The sequence below is a fragment of the Homo sapiens genome, chromosome 15 (assembly GCF_000001405.40).
Source record: "Homo sapiens chromosome 15, GRCh38.p14 Primary Assembly".
Classification (NCBI taxonomy): domain Eukaryota; kingdom Metazoa; phylum Chordata; class Mammalia; order Primates; family Hominidae; genus Homo; species Homo sapiens.
Genome location: NC_000015.10, coordinates 90,768,808 through 90,785,597, shown reverse-complemented (window position 1 = coordinate 90,785,597; position 16,790 = coordinate 90,768,808). Strand labels below are relative to the sequence as shown.

General features: G+C 40.9%; 1 protein-coding gene across 7 annotated transcripts in view; it reads right to left on the bottom strand.

The window, feature by feature from the left end:
• The window catches only part of BLM (BLM RecQ like helicase), a 98,821-nt gene that overhangs the window by 30,569 nt on the left and 51,462 nt on the right, over positions 1-16,790 (bottom strand). For 6 of the 7 annotated variants that reach the window (NM_001287246.2, NM_001287248.2, NM_000057.4 and 3 more), the window contains 4 exons: positions 16,367-16,465; positions 16,012-16,160; positions 2,670-2,776; positions 517-677 (listed from right to left, as the gene is read on the bottom strand). In NM_001287246.2, the coding sequence (NP_001274175.1) occupies positions 517-677; positions 2,670-2,776; positions 16,012-16,160; positions 16,367-16,465 (516 nt within the window). Of the gene's footprint in view, positions 1-516; positions 678-2,669; positions 2,777-7,650; positions 7,840-16,011; positions 16,161-16,366; positions 16,466-16,790 lie in introns of those variants that run through there. The other variant, XM_011521882.4, reaches the window with a different exon arrangement.

The window sequence follows — 16,790 nt, the reverse complement described above, 5'->3', positions numbered from 1 at the left end:
CACTGTAGTCTGGGCGACAGAGTGAGACTCTGTCTCCGGAAAAAAAAAAAAAAAAGAAAAGTCACAAAGACCACATACTGTATGATTCTATTTACATGCAATGTACAGAGTAATAAACTCTAGAAACAGGTTAGCAGTAGTTAGTAGATTTGTGGTTTCCAGGCATTAGGGGGTGGGGGAAGTGACTGGGTATGAGGTTTCTTTTTATGGTGATCAAAAATTCTGGAATTAGATAGAGATGATTATTGTACAACTTTGCAAATAAACTAAAAAGTACTAACTTGTTTGCTTTGAAAGGATAAATTTTATGATATGTGAATTATATCTCAAGCAGATTTTTTTTATGAAAGAAAAAGCAACTTTAGAAGTCTCAAAGAAAATCTGTTTTTTAAATTTCAGTCTTATTTTGATGTTTACTACCTTCAAGGTAAAAACAGTTTGCATTCTACATGTGCATGTTTGGTTATATGCTATAAAAGATTATTTCTATTATTTGTTTATCTTTAAAAATGTTACCTGACAGCCATCCTGATTAATCCACTTCTGCTGCACTTCATCTCTGGCAGAATCACTGAGGCCAGCATGGTAAGCAAGAGCAGCGAGCCCATCTCTCTGTAACGTGTCAGCCATGGTGTCACATTCTCGCCTGGAGAGGCAGTAAATTATCCCTGAATCATCTGCCAAGAAACCAAGAGTACTGAGAAACAAGAATTTTTAACATAAACAAAAACACAATTTACACTACATTTTCAGAAATATATGAACCATAAATAGATCTCCCGTAGTGTTCTTATACTGCTGGAAGACCACACACGTGAATAATTCAAGCAAGGAATTCATGTGTGCTGGAAATGAGATGTGGCTTTTAATCCTGTCGCTGCTAATGACTCGTGAGGTGGACCTGGATGAACTCTGGGCTCTACTTCACACTAGATACATGTGGGTATAAAAAAGCCATCCTTGGCCGGGCGCGGTGGCTCATGCCTGTAATCCCAGCACTTTGGGAGGCCAAGGAGGGCAGATCATTTGAGGTCGGGAGTTCGAGACCAGCCTGGACATCATGGTGAAAAGCTATCTTCACTAAAAATACAAAAAAAATCAGCCAGGTGTGGTGGTGGGCACCTGTAATCCCAGCTAGTCAGGAGGCTGAGGCAGGAGAATCACTTTAACCCAGGAGGTAGAGGTTGCAGTGAGCCGAGATCGCACCACCGCACTCCTGCCTGGAGATAGAGTGAGACTCAGCCTCAAAAAAAAAAAAAAAAAAAAAAAAGAAAAGCCATTCTTGCACAAACTTTGTCAAAAGCATATGGCAGTATGTATCAAGAGTCTTAGAAATACCTTTGACTCAGTTTCTTTCTGGGAAATTAGGAAATAAAGTGATACAAGGACATAAACAAAAGTTTTACTTCAAACTTTAAAAATTACAAAGATTTTACTGAGCAACATTAGGGAAACAAATACAGGGAACTGTGAAATAAAATATACTATAACTATCAAAAGTGTTTTCTAAGTTTTTAAAAGACATGGGAAAATGCTCATGATATATAAAGTAGATTAACGGTAGAAACGTATATAGTATGCTAGTAGAAAAAAATGCATAGAAAAATACTAGAAATTAATAATAACATAACAGTGATTTTGCTCATTGAGTGATGTTTGTCTTTTGTTTCTTCTTTTTGTTGCTTTCTAAATTTTCTTTTTTGTTTTTTGAGACAGTCTTGCTCTGTCGCCCAGGCCGGAGTGCAGTGGCACGATCTCAACTCACTGCAACCTCTGCCTCCCGGGTTCAAGCAGTTCTTCTGCCTCAGCCTCCAGAATAGCTGGAATTACAGGTGCGTGCCACCACGTCTGGATAATTTTTGTAGAGATGGGGTTTCACCGTTTTGGCCAGGCTGGTCTTGAAATCCTGACCTCAAGTGATTCACCCACCTCGGCCTCCCAAAATGCTGAGATTACAGGCGTGAACCACAGTGCCTGGCCATATAAATTTTCTTTAATGAGCATATATTATATTTATTATTATGTGTGTTATTTTTAGAAATGGAAATTAAAAGATATTAAAGGAAAAGTCATCTCTCTGTGACTGAGCCAAAGGTCTAGATATACACATGAAGCTATTGACATTAGCTGCCTGGGGGAGGTGAGTCTGAGCGGGGAAATCACTGACTTTTTCTTGGTAGATCTCTACTGACTGATTTGTCCACACAAATATGTATACTAATTTCTAAAAAATAAAATAGAAATACCAAAAATATTCTCCATGGAAAAGTGGAAAGGGGGTTACATGGAAAACTACTATGAATTTCAGAATCTCATTTTAGTTAACATAATGCAAAGGCAGACAGGCTTGGGACAAGGCACTAAAACAAAAAGCTGTATAATTCAAACACTGATAGAAGCCTGAGGAAAGACATTGAAACCAAAAGTTATAATATACGTGTGTAGGAGGGAGTATTTAATATATTTTTGTTAGAATTTATTGTTATTAAACCAAATGAGATTTTATAATTTCCAGAATTGAGAGAGTTGCAATAGTCTGCTCTATAAAGAGCAAGTTAGTGCTGTCATAATGCAAAAAGGAATGTTTAATATGCAATTTTATATATCTTATTGTGGTACTAAAAAGACATTTGTTACTTCTAGACAGCTAATCACATGGCTGTACTCACATGGGTGGTGCTTTCTGATCCATTCTAGGCAATCAAATGCCACCTTTTTAGGCTTTTTCGGTAATACATAGTATTTCAGATTATGTCTGTTAAAGCTCATGCTAAACCTAAAAAAGTCCCAAACATAAAATTTAGTTATTATGAGAAAATATGACTTTAGGTATTGTTATAGACTACATGTGTCCCCCCTAAAATCCTAACCCCCAGTGTGATGGTATTAGGAGTTGGAGCCTCCGGGAGATAATTAGGTCATGAGGGGTGGAGTTATGAATGAGATAAGTGCTCAAAAATAAGTAGAGACCTTGCTGGCTCTCCCCACCCGCATATGTCAGTATGCAAAGAGAATACTACCACTTGCAAACCAGGAAGAGGGACTTCATCTGACTTGGGATCTGCCAGCATCTTGATCTTGGACTTCCTGGCTTTCAGAACCAAGAGAAATAAATTTCTGTTGTTTAAGCCACCCAGTCTACAGTATTCTGTCATAGCAGCCCAAGCTAATATCAAGTAGTTTTTGTTTTGTTTTGTTTTGTTTTTTTTTGAGACAGAGTCTCACTCTGTCGCCCAGGCTGGAGTGCAGTGGCACAATCTTGGCTCACTACAACCTCTGCCTGCTGGGTTCAAGCCATTCTCCTGCCTCAGCCTCCCAAGTAGCTGGGATTATGGATGCCCACCATCGCGCCCAGCTAATTTTTGTATTTTTAGTAGAGACAGAGTTTCACCATGTTGGCCAGGCTGGTCTCGAACTCCTGACCTCAAGCAATCCACTTGCCTTGGCCTCCCAAAGTGCTGGGATTACAGGCATGAGCCACCGGGCCCAGCCTACCAAGTAGTCTTAAGTTGAATATTGTCGCTAGCAGCTTACACAATAGAACACTGAAATGGAAGTAAGGCTAAGGGTTAAAGAAAAGAATGGTGATAAAGAGGGAATGTTTATGGGACTAGATGACAAAAAATTAGGATTGTGGAAGAGAAAACATATAGAAAGACAAAGTAAGTCAGGAGCCCAGTCTCTTGACTCCAAGATGAGGCTGACTAAAAGCAGAGATGGTTAGAACATTATTTAAAATATTAAGGAAATCACACAGGAAATATACGTATTTTTAGGCCATCAATGTTCCCAAATTTTGACCAGGTACTCAAGCTCATCCAACCCGCAGCCCACGGGCCACATGCAGCCCAGGATGGTTTTGAATGTGGTCCAACACAAATTCATAAGCTCTCTTAAAACAGTGAGATTTTTTATGATTCTTTTATAAAGCTCATCAGCTATTGTTACTGTTAGTGTATTATTATTTTTTTGAGAGGGAGTCTCGCGCTTGTCACCCAGGCTGGAGTGCAAGGGTGCGATCTTGGCTCACTGCAACCTCTACCTCCTGGGTTCAAGCAATTCTCCTGCCTCAGCCTCCTGAATAGCTGGAATTACAGGTGCCCGCCACCACACCCAGCTCATTTTTGTTATTTTTAGTAGAGATGGGGTTTCACCATGTTGGCCAGGCTGGTCTCAAACTCCTGACCTCAGGTGATCTGCCCACCTTGGCCTCTCAAAGTGCTGGGATTACAGGTGTGAGCCACCATACCCGGCCAGTTAGTGTATTTTATGTGTGGTCCAAGACAATCGTTCTTCTTCTAGTATGGCCCAGGGAAGCCAAAAGATTGGACACCCCAGGATACATAAAAAGCTAACTGCAGGACAGCAGAAGGAGTTAAAGCCCTACTGATTACAGTCACTTTATTTTTGTTCTTGGCCCCAAATAAAATGTGGCTGACTCTGAGACAGATGTGCTCCTCCTCTTCCTCTGGTCTACTATTCTTGCCCCATTTCCTCCCGCCCACTTCCTCAGTGAGCTTGTTCTCTCCATTATCTCCTCTCTTGTCTTTTCAGTCTGTTCTGTGAATCTTAAACAAATTCAGACCCTCAATTTTCACATCCCTTGGTTTCCCATGGGGGATTGGTTCTAGGGCCTCCTCGGATACCTAAATCCAAGGATGCTCAAGTCCCTGATATAAAATGGTGTAGTATATGTATATAACCTATGCACATCCTCCTGCACACTTTAAACCATCTCTAGATTACTTATAATACTCAATACAATGTATTAAATAAATGCCATGTAAATAGTTGCTACACTGTACTGTCAGTAACTATGTGACATTTTTCTTCTGTCCTGGCGGGAGGATACAGCAGAGTATGCCTACACATCACTTCATTCATGTGGACACAGCATAGCGCTTGGTGCTCAGCAAATTCAAATCTTGCTTTTTGAAACTTTCAGAAACTATTTTTCTTTCAAATGTTTTTGATATACAGTTGGGTGAATCTGCAGATGCAGAAACTGCAGATAGGAAGGGCTGGCTGTCCTTTTTCATAAGACTGATCTGAGAATGCTCCCACAGACAAGAAATTCTGGCCAGGGGTGGTGGCTCACATCAATAATCTCAACATTTTGGAAGGCCAAGGCAGGAGGATCACTTGAGCCCAGGAATTCAAGACCAGTTGGGCAACAAAGTGAGACCCTCGTCTCTAATTAGAAAAAAGACATCCTGGACGGGCGCGGTGGCTCACGCCTGTAATCCCAGCACTTTGGGAGGCCAAGGCGGGCAGATCATGAGATCTGGAGTTTGAAACCAGCCTAACCAACATGGTGAAACCCTGTCTCTACTAAAAATACAAAAACTAGCCAGGCATGGTGGCACGTGCCTGTAATTCCAGCTACTCAGGAGGCTGAGGCAGGAGAATCGCTTGAACCTGAGAGGCGGAGGTTGCAGTGAGCCGACATCACACCACTGCACTCCAGCCTGGGCGAAGAGTGAGACTCTGTCTAAAAAGAAAAAAAAAAAAAAAAAGACATCCTGCTTGTTTCGCCTTTCCCATTTTTCCCTTTTACGATTGCCTCACTTCCTGAAAACAAACAAACCAATCCTACTTTTCATCCATTCTGAATTTTACCACTGTGCACTGTTCCAGGATGTAAAAACCTCCAGGACACCAAACAAAGCAAACTGAAAAATAGTATGAGTGTAGGTGAAATTTTCTTTAATTAAAGCACTAGAAATCCTTGGTAGGAGGGCCTCATATCTTTCGGTGTTTTACTTATTTCTGTTAAGGGTGAAGAATAACTAGGAACAAAGTATTTTGGTCCTTATTAGGATGTTCTGATTTCAGATATACTGAGAATAAGGTGGTGGGAATGAAGATGACCTTCACTTTATGATGTTGTTTCTTTCATCTCTATAATCACAGAATGCATTACCCTGAAAGTCTTTGAGACTACCGTTAAACAATACTTTGATACCACCACTCTTATGACAGCATTTCTTTGCAAAAAACTCCTAGAGTCCTTTTAGTGCTTGAAAAGGCAGAATGTGTAGCAGATTGTGGCAAAAAAGGTAGTAGATTAAAGAATTGTCTAGGAATACAAATGATGAAGAAAATCTTAAAATGCATTTGAGTTGATTTGGGCTTAAGTTGGAAACGGTGCATGAGTCTCTCCACCGATAGGAATGCTATGGTGACTGGGCATAACAATGGCCTTATTGCTTTTTCCCACATTAAAAAAATATATTTATTTTCAGAAAAGTGTTTTATTAATTTAAAAAAATCTTTGGGTCAAAAAGAGAGACAAAAACAAGTGTTGGTGAGGATATGAAAAAATTAGAACCCTCATACATCGCTAGTGAAAATGTAAAATGGCACAGCCACTTTGGAAAACAGTGCGACAGTTCTTTAAAACGTTAAACATAGGCTGGGCACGGTGGCTCATGCCTGTAATTCCAGCACTTTGGGAGGCTGAGTTGGGCGGATCATGAGGTCAGGAGTTCAAGACCAGCCTGGCCAATATGGGGAAACCCCCATCTCTACTAAAAATACGAAAATTAGCTGGGCGTGGTGGCGCACACCTGTAGTCTCAGCTACTCAGGAAGCTGAGGCAGAAGAATCACTTGAACCTGGGAGGTGGAGGTTGCAGTGAGCCAAGATCGCACCACTGCACTCCAGCCTGGGCTACAGAGTGAGACTCCGTCTCAAAAAAAAAAAAAAGAAAGGGTTAAACATAGAGTTTCTATATGACCCAATAATTTCACTCCTGGGCATATACCTAAGAGAAATGAAAACATATGTCCACACAAAAATTTATACATGTATGATTATACCAGCATTATTCATAATAGTAAAAAATAAAAATGGAAACAACCCAATATCAACTGATGAATAAAATGTCGTAGACGTCTACAATGGAATATTATTCACCAATAAACCGTGAAAACATTATGCTAAGTAGACAGTCACAAAAAAGATCACATATTGGATGATTCTATTTACACGAGATACCCAGAGTAGGCAAATCTATACATAGAAAGCAGATTAGTGGTTGCCTAGGGCTGGCAGGATGGGGATGTGAGGGGAAAAGGAGATTGAACTGCAATGGGCATGGGTGTTTTTGGAGGGTGATGAAATGTTCTAAAACTCTGGCAATGGTTGTACAATTCTGAATATACTAAAAACTTTGAATTGTACTTTTTAAATATGGGAATTGTATGGTATGTGGATTATACCGCAACAAAGCTGTTACTAAAAACATCTGGCACATAATCTGAATTTCTTAAAATTTGTAGACACAATTGAAAAAGCTCAGAACTGTTTACCAGTTAATTTAGTCAAACAAATTACTTTTACTAAAAATAATAAAAATGACATGAGATTAGAACATAAAGTTGTAGATCATGAATCCAATTAAAACCAAGACAACTATCTCTACTGCAAAAGGACTGTGGGTAACTAACTGAAAGCAATATTTACACAATTTGTTATAATGAAAAAGTTAATAGACCCTTGGAGTTTATTACATGTAACAAATCTTACTCTGCCTGTTGGAAAATAAGATGTTTGGAATTACCAAATACCTAGTTACAGACAGTTCCCATCAATTGATAAATGGATAAATAAAATGCAAAATACTGATACACTGCAATATTATTCAGCTATAAAAATGAATGAAGTACTTACTGACCAATGCTACAACATGGATGACCCTTGAAAACTACGCTCAGTGAAAGAAGCCGGGCACAAACAAGAGGGAGAAGATGCGGAGCAGCTGCTAATGGGTACCAGGTTTCTCGCTGGGGTGATAAAAATGCTGTAAACTTAGATATTGGGGATGGTTGTACAATTCTGTGAAAATACAGAAAAAAAGCAACCCACTAAATTGTACCCTTTAAATGGATGAATTTTATAGTGTGTGAATTACATTTTAATAAAGTTTTCTTAAAAGTTAGATTCTACTGTTTCTTGTCTAAGGTTCTGCTGGATATTACCATTAAAATGGTAAATATTATCCTGTTTGGGGTGTCAAACTCATGTCTTTTCAAAGTGTTGTGTGAGGAAACAAAGTCAATTAGAGCTCAGCTTGTTGCTTTTGGAATTGACAATAGTTGTCATGGGATGTGTACTAAATAGTTTATGTGAATTGAAAAATGAGGCCAGGTGCAGTGGCTCACGCCTCTAATCCCAGCACTTTCAGAGGCCGAGGCGGGCAGATCACCTGAGGTCAGGAGTTTAAGACCAGCCTGCGCAATATGGTGAAACCCTGTCTCTACCAGAAATACAAAAAATTAGCTGGGCATGGTGGCGGGCGCCTGTAATCCCAGCTACTTGGGAGGCTGAGGCAGGAGAATCACTTGAATCCCGGAGGTGGAGGTTGCGGTGAGCTACTGTACTCCAGCCTGGGCAACAAGAGTGAAACTCCATTCCCCCCACCCCCCTCAAAAAAGAAAAGGAAAATGAAGCCAGCCAGGCATGGTAGTATGTGCCTGTAGTCCCAGCTACTCAGGAGGCTAGGGCAGGAACATCACTTAAGCCCAGGAGTTCAAGACCAGCCTGGGCAACATAGTGAGAGTAAGACCCCATCTCCAAAACAAAAACAAAAACAAAACAAAACAAAACAAAACCCACAAAGAAAAGAAGTCTAATTTAGCAATAAAGACTGGCTTTACCAATTAGGTTATATGGTGGTCATTTCCCATTTTTGGAAAGAGCTAATCTATAGCCACAGTTTTGACAAAACTCTATTTAAAAGTATGTCACACAATATGGTTGGGAATGGTGGCTCACGCCTGTAATCCCAGCACTTTGGGAGGCCGGGGCAGGCAGATCCTTTGAGCTCAGGAGTTCGAGACCAGTCTGGGCAACATGGTGAAACTCCGTCTCTACGAAAAAAACAACACAAACAAAAAACATAAAAATTAGCCAGGCATGGTGGTGCACGCCTGTAGTCCTGGCTACTTGGCGGGTTGAGGCAGGAGGATAAATTGAGCCTGGGAGGCAGAGGTTGCAGTGAGCCGAGATCGCACCACTGTACTTATTCCATCCTGGGTGAAAGATTGGGACTCTGTCTCAAAAAACAACAACAAAAAAGTTATTAGAAAAGCGTATCACACAATAAAAGTATTTTGTCAAAAATATCATATTGGAAAGGTATACTGAAACTAACAGTATTTTGATTTCCCCAACTCTTCCATACATATTGGATACAGGGAACAAGATTCTTGTTGAAAGAATAATAAGACTACTTAATAGTCATTAGGTAAGTATTGGTAAAGCTTTTTTTTAGGGTATTTTTCCTAGAAAAAGTAAAGTGAATAACGATTGATCTTGCTTATTTTCCCAGAGAGTTTCCAATTCTTTGCTTACCACAAATTTGAAAGACCTAATTGAGTTGTCAATTGACAGATAATTAAAAATAATTTTTGATGACTGATCATTACGTAATCTTGGCATATACATCAGAAGGAATTCAAATAATTGTTACAGCTACAAAAAATGCCTTCCATTCCCATCTACATGTTTATGTGAGCAATATTTCTTAGTGCTTACATCCATAAAAATAAGAAATATAAATGGACCCAATTCATCCAGATATGTCAACTAAGTGAACAACAAAAGTCCTAGCTGGGTGTGGACCTGTAGTCCACACTATTTAGAAGATTAAGGTGGGAGGATCACTTGAGGCCAGGAATTCCAGACTAACCCGAACAATATAACGAGACCTCATCTCTTAAACAAACAAACAAACAAAAGGCCTATCTCATTAAGAGATACATTCTCAATCAAAATGTATGCTTATGGCCGGGCGTGGTGGCTCAAGTAATCCCAGAACTTTGGGAGGCTGGGGCGGGTGGATCACCTGAGGTTAGGAGTTTGAGACCAGCCTGGCCAACATGGTGAAACCCCGTCTCTACTAAAAATAGAAAAATTAGCCGGGCATGGCGGCAAGTGCCTGTAGTCCCAGCTACTCAGGAGGCTGAGGCGGGAGAATCACTTGAACTCGGGAGGTGGAGATTGCAGAGATCGTGTCATTGCACTCCAGCCTGGGCGACAAGAGTGAAACTTGGTCTAAAATACACACACACACACACACACATATATATATAAAAAATAAAAACACACATATATATAAAATACATATATATTATATATATATTTAAAACATATATGTATATATGCAGGAGGTACATAGTTTTCCAGGATTTTTTCAGGAGGTACATGTGACCAAAGAAGGTATGAAGATGGCTATCGTGGTCATCCACTCATCCCTTAAACATCCCAGGCATCATGCATCTAAAATCAAATTTATTACTCATCTTCCTTCCTCCATTCCATTTATGGTCAATGGTTCTAGGCACCTGCCCCAGGAACTAGTATAAACTTCAACCGTATCCACTCTTCTCATTCCATTTAGTTACCATTCCTGCCCTCTCTCTTGACTCTGTTTCTTCCTTCCACTTCTGCTGTTTCCACCAGCATCATCTCTCCTCAATGACTGCAATAGGCAATAAGTTCCTGAAGGGCTGCTCTACCTCTAACTTTCTGTTCTCTCACTCATCCTCTCCTCTATTCTCTTGCCAGGGTTATCATTCATCCACACAGTTCAGATCAAGCCACTTCCCAGGTTAAAGTGCCAAAAGAATAAAGTCCAAACATTTTACCATCGTTATATGCAAGATCCTCCATGATCTGGCGTCAAGCCACCTTGTCAGGGTCATCCCTTCTCTATGTTTCTCCACTTATCCAATGGATTATTCACCATTCCTTGGGCCTGACCTGTACTTTTTTTTTTTTTTTTTGGCTGGAGTGTAGTGGCATGATCTCGGCTCACTGCAACCTCCACTTTCTGGTTTCAAGCAATTCTCCTGTCTCAGCCTCCCGAGTAGCTGCGACTATAGGTGCATGCCACCACGCCCGGCTAATTTTTGTATTTTTAGTAGAGATGGGGTTTCACCATGTTGGCCAGGCTGGTCTCCAACTCCTGACCTCAGGTGATCCACCCGCCTCGGCCACCCAAAGTGCTGGGATTACAGGCATGAGCCACCGAGCCTGGCCTGACCTGTACTTTTATAACAGAAACTTCAGCCCTGAATTTTCACTCTTTGCCTGCTAAAATGCCGTTCACCTACCACTTCATATAGCTGTAATAAAAAAAGACAGTAACAAGTGTTGATAAGCATGTGGAAAAACTGCAACCCCCACACACTGCTGAAGGTAATATAAAATGATGGAGGCGGTCGGGTGCAGTGGCTCACACCTATAAGCCCAGCACTTTGGGAGGTCGAGATGGGTGGATCACCTGAGGTCAGGAGTTTGAGAACAGCCTGGCCAACATGGTGAAACCCCATCTCTACTAAAAATACAAAATTAGAAAAATACAAAAATACAAAAATAGTCCCAGCTACTTGGGAGGCTGAGGCAGGAGAATCGCTTGAACCCAGGAGGTGGAGGTTGTAGTGAGCCGAGATTGCACCACTGCACTCCAGCCTGGGTGACAGAGTGAGACTCCGCCTCAAAAAAAAAAAAAAAAAAAAAAAAAAGACGGAGGCACTTTGAAAACTAGTTTAGTAGTCCTTGAATTGAAAAGGTTAATCATACAGTTACCACAGACCCAGCAACCCAAGAGAAATAAAACTGATGACCACAGAACAACTTCTACACAAATGTTCACAGCAGCATTATTCAAAAAAACCAAAACACTGAAACAGCTTGAACATCCATCAAATGATGAATGGGCAAATAAAACAGAAAGTAGGATCCATAAAATGGAATATTATCTGAAAATAGAAAGGAATGAAATACTGAAAACAGGCTACAACATGGAGGAACCTTAAAAACATGCTCAGTGAAAGAAGTCAGTCACAAAAGGCCACATGTTATGTGATTCCATTTATATGAAATGTCCAGAATAGGCGCAAACCTACAGAGACAGAAAGTAGATGAGGGGTTGCCTAAGAATGGGGAAAGTGAGAAAGTAGGAATTGACTGCTAATGGGTATACTCTCCCTTTCAACAGAGACAAAAATGTTCTAAAATTAGATAATGGTGATGGCTGCACAACCTTATAAACTAAAAAAAAAAAAAAAAAAAAAAAAGGCCATTGAAGTGTCAACTTTAGGTGAATTTTATGGTATGTAAATTTTATTTCAATACAGCTGTTTAAGCCTTTTTTTGTTTGTTTGTTTTTCAGATGGAGTCTCGCTCTATCACCCAGGCTGGAGTGCAGTCGTATGATCTTGGATCACTGCAACCTCCGCCTCCCAGGTACAACCAATTTTCCTGTCTCAGCCTTTCAAGTAGCTGGTATTACAGGCGCCCACCACCACACCTGGTTAATTTTTATATTTTTAGTAGAGATGGGGTTTCAACATGTTGGCCAGGCTGGTCTTCAACTCCTGACCTCAGGTGATCCGTCTCCCTTGGCCTCCCAAAGTGCTGGGATTACAGCTGTGAGCCACTGCGCTCGGCTGCTGTCTACGCTTTTATCTTTTTTTTTTTTTTTTTTTTTTTTGAGACAGTCTCGCTCTTGTTGCCCAGGCTGGGGTGCAGTGGTGCAATCTCGGCTCCCTGCAACCTCCGCCTCCCGGGTTCAAGTGATTCTCCTGCCTCAGCTTCCCCAGTAGCTGGGATTACAGGTATGCACCACCAGGCCCGGCTAGTTTTGTATTTTTAGTAGAGACGGGGTTTCTCCTTGTTGGTCAGTCTGGTCTTGAACTCGTGACCTCAGGTGATCCGCCCACCTTGGCCTCCCAAAGTGCTGGGATTACAGGCGTGAGTCACCATGCCCAACCTATGCTTTTAAATAAACTACTCCTCCTACAATGCCCAGTGCCTTTACAAAACTTGATCTGACCCCTCCTTGTAACAGCTGTTACTGGGGGTTCTAGCTTATCTTGTCTTCTTCAGTTCCTGCAGCTGTAATTTACATCTCAAATCACTGCTTTCTTCTTTCTGCAATTTGACCTAGTATTTAAAGGATTCTGAAACCAGCTATCTGGTGTTTTAAGTTCTCACTCCAACCCTTGCTAGGCATATGAAGTTATATAATCTCTTTGTGTCTCAATTTCCTCACCTGTAGAATGAGGAAAATAGGAGTACCTACCTTGCTTTTGTGTGGACAAGGAGGTAAATACACTTAAAATGACAACAGTGCCTGGCACACTGAGTAGGCTGGATATGTAAGTGTTAGCTATTATTATTGTTCTATTATAGTTAACTCTATGTGCCTGTCTCTTTGCTCTCTTCCAGTTCATATTTTAAGGCCCTAAGGAAATGGAATAAAGCCTTTTTTGTGTGCCTTATATTTCCCAAAGAGGAAGAATATTATTACAGACTGGCGGGAGGAGAGCAGCACAGGGGCTGTGGCTTCAACCTTAGGAATACCTGACTTCGCCAGGGCCACGACATAGCAGCAGTTGAGCAAATTTAATCCAAACCAGGGCCTACTGGCAGAAAAGATCAGGAAACAGAGTCCCAGAAAGTATTCCTTAAAATTTCCTACTTCCAAATGCAGAGAAGTGCCAAACACATTAAGGAGTCAACAGACATGCCTACATTTTTACATTTACCCAAATTCCTTCACATTTTTCATTTATTGATTATTACTGAGTGCCAATTATGTACCAAGTGCTGGAGACTGGAAATCCACAACCTTGCTTTCCCAGGCAGATCTCTTCCCCACAGTACTAAGAAAACAGATTCAAGGTGCCTGCCTCTAAATAAATAAATAAATATGTACACTGTTTACTCAAACATAAATCACAAATCCTATACTTACAAAAAGTCATTCAAAAGGAAAAGAAATTTTTTTTATCATTTAACTATAGGCATTTGCCATTGATGTAACTGATCTAAAAGAACAGTAGATTGCATCCGGCGTAAGAGGACAGAAGAATCTCAGCACTTAGGAAGGCTGAGATGGGAGGACTGTTTAAGCCCAGGAGTTCGAGACCAGCTTGGGTAACATGGCAACATGGTAAGACCTGTCTCCAAAAAAAAAAAAAAAAAAAAATTATAGATCAATGTAGTACTTACAGAAGTACTTACTTGCAAATAGGTTATTTATTAGAATCTAAAGTATAATATGACATCTTTTTTTTTGTTTTTTGTTTTTTGTTTTTGAGACAGGGCCTTACTCTGTTGCCCAGGCTGGAGTACAGTGGCGTGATCTTGGCTCACTGCAACCTCCGCCTCCTGGGTTCAAGCAATTCTCCTGCCTCAGCCTCCTGAGTAGCAGCGATTACAGGCGCACGCCAGTAGGCCTGGCTAATTTTTGTATTTTTAGTAGAGATGGGGTATCGCCACGTTGGCCAGGCTGGTCTCGAACTCCTGACCTTAGGCGATCCACCTGCCTCGGCCTCCCAAAGTGCTGGGATTACAGGCATGAGCCACTGCACCCAGCCTAATACGACATCTTAAATATAGCATTATAATGCATATCAATTATAGACGCAAAATATTTTTCCCCAAATTTAATACAAATACTCCTCTGCAAGTGAGATTAAATTACAATATTCCATTCCAAACTTTGTGATCACACACACAAAATTCTGAGGACTCTAAAATCCTTGCACTTGAGTATGGTCATTTGTGCTATATAACAGTGCTACTAGCAATAAAATAATTCTAGGCTGGAACCAAACAACTTAAAGGCTGGAAGAAACCCAAAATGCTTGAATTCCTTGATTTAGATCAGATAATTTAGAAGCTGCCAGTTTAACCTGCAAAAGCTTTTGTAGCTATCTTAATCACATGACCCATTCATATCCTTCATAAGGAACCTTCAGTTCTTCTCATAACCCTCTAAGAGATACTGTTGCTATTCTTACTGCTTATAATATTTATAGCACCAGCTTGTCTTTATTTTCAAATGAACAAAAGCCGTGCTTTAAAAATTCACCTCAATATCCAATTCAGTCATTACTCCTTCAGGCATACCATGTTAATGTTTACATCTGAAACTAAAGTGCACACTAATAAATCAGAAGAAAAAAATACTTTAAACTCGGCACACAACAGTTGTTAAATAAATATTTGCTGAGTGAATAAACCTACCAAAGAATCCATATCTCTACAAACTCAGGTAGAAGTATAAAATAATCCAGTACAGCCTAGATAAATATGTGGGGATTGGCCGGGCACGGTGGCTCACGCCTGTAATCCCAGCACTTTGGGAGGCCAAGGCGGGCGGATCACGAGGTCAGGAGATCGAGACCCTCCTGGCTAAGACAGTGACACCCCGTCTCTACTAAAAATACAAAAAAAATTAGCCTGGCGTGGTGGCGGGCGCCTACAGTCCCAGCTACTCGGGAGGCTAAGGTGGGAGAATGGCGTGAACCCCGGGAGGCAGAACTCGGAGTGAGCCGAGATCAGGCCACTGCACTCCAGCCTGGGCGACAGAGCGAGACTCCATCTCAAAAAAAAAAAAAAGGGGGGGGGGATTTCTTTTATAGTAGATTTTGTTACTGAAGAATTATGGATTTGGTGGCAACAAGAAGCATTTTGTTGTTGAGAAGAAAACAAAGTAAAAAAGCTATTCGACATAGTATCTGGACTATTTTCAACATCCTGGATTCAACTGGGACCTTAGGGGGAAATGACAAAGCAGGGTCATCTTTCATTTCAAGAAGTATACTCTAGGATATATGGAAGCCAAAATTAGATAAGTAAAAATTAATTTATTACTGGGACTATACCAGGGATGATAGATATGGCATGCAATTTATCCCTACTTCTAAAGTAGGTACTGAAAAGGAGTTTTAATTTCAGTAAGTGAAGAAAAGCCCTAGGACTCTGGTTCCCAAACTCTGCTGCACATTGTAATCACTTGGGGATTTTTAAAAAAATACTGGCTCTCAGCCCCAAACGTTCTGATTTAGCTGCCATCGGGTTACAACTTGGGCATGGGGGTGGGGTGGGGGTGGGGTGGTGGCGTTAAAGCGCCACAGGTGATTCTAACATGTAGCAGCTCTGGCAGTCACTGCCCCAGGGTTCTCAAATACGTGACGTGCAACAACTTACACCTGAGGTCTGAGAATCTTCAGCTGAGTCAGGATGTCCTTCTGTACCCTGGGATTAGCTGTGGCCGTAAGAGCCATCACCGGAACAGAAGGAAACTTCTGGCGAAGCATATTCATTCTTTTGTAATCTTGACGAAAATCATGTCCCCACTAGTTGGAAAAAAAAATACTGCTTTTCAGACTACTTGGAGCTTCCTTCTATAAAAAGCCAACACTGCTCAATGTATTAAGAACTACCTTATTCTTCAGTAAAATAGGAGACTCGTTCACTCAGTGTGGGTTTTTATTCAGTAAATACATATATTGTTGGTAGTATGTATTTATCGGTATTTCCGGATATAAAAAACAGTATTTACCTGACTGACACAATGTGCTTCATCAATAACAAAACGTGCCAAGAGCTTCCTCTCATAGAGATTCTCCAGAGTAGAAATGAGTCTGTTACTTGCACAGATCTAGGCCAGAAATACATTAGACATGTAAAAACACTGAAACACATCACCTCATGATTCTGTGGTCTTCAAATTCCATCACAACTTAAGCTGTATTAAAACCTCTATAAGGCCGGGTGCGGTGGCTCACGCCTGTAATCCCAGCACTTTGGGAAGCCGAGGTGGGTGGATCATCCGAGGTCGGGAGTTTGTGACCAGCCTAACCAACATGGTGAAACCCCACCTTTACTAAAAATACAAAATTAGCCGGGCGTGGTGGTGCATGCCTGTAATCCCAGCTACTCAGGAAGGCTGAGGCAGGAGAATCGCTTGAACTCGGGAGGTGGAG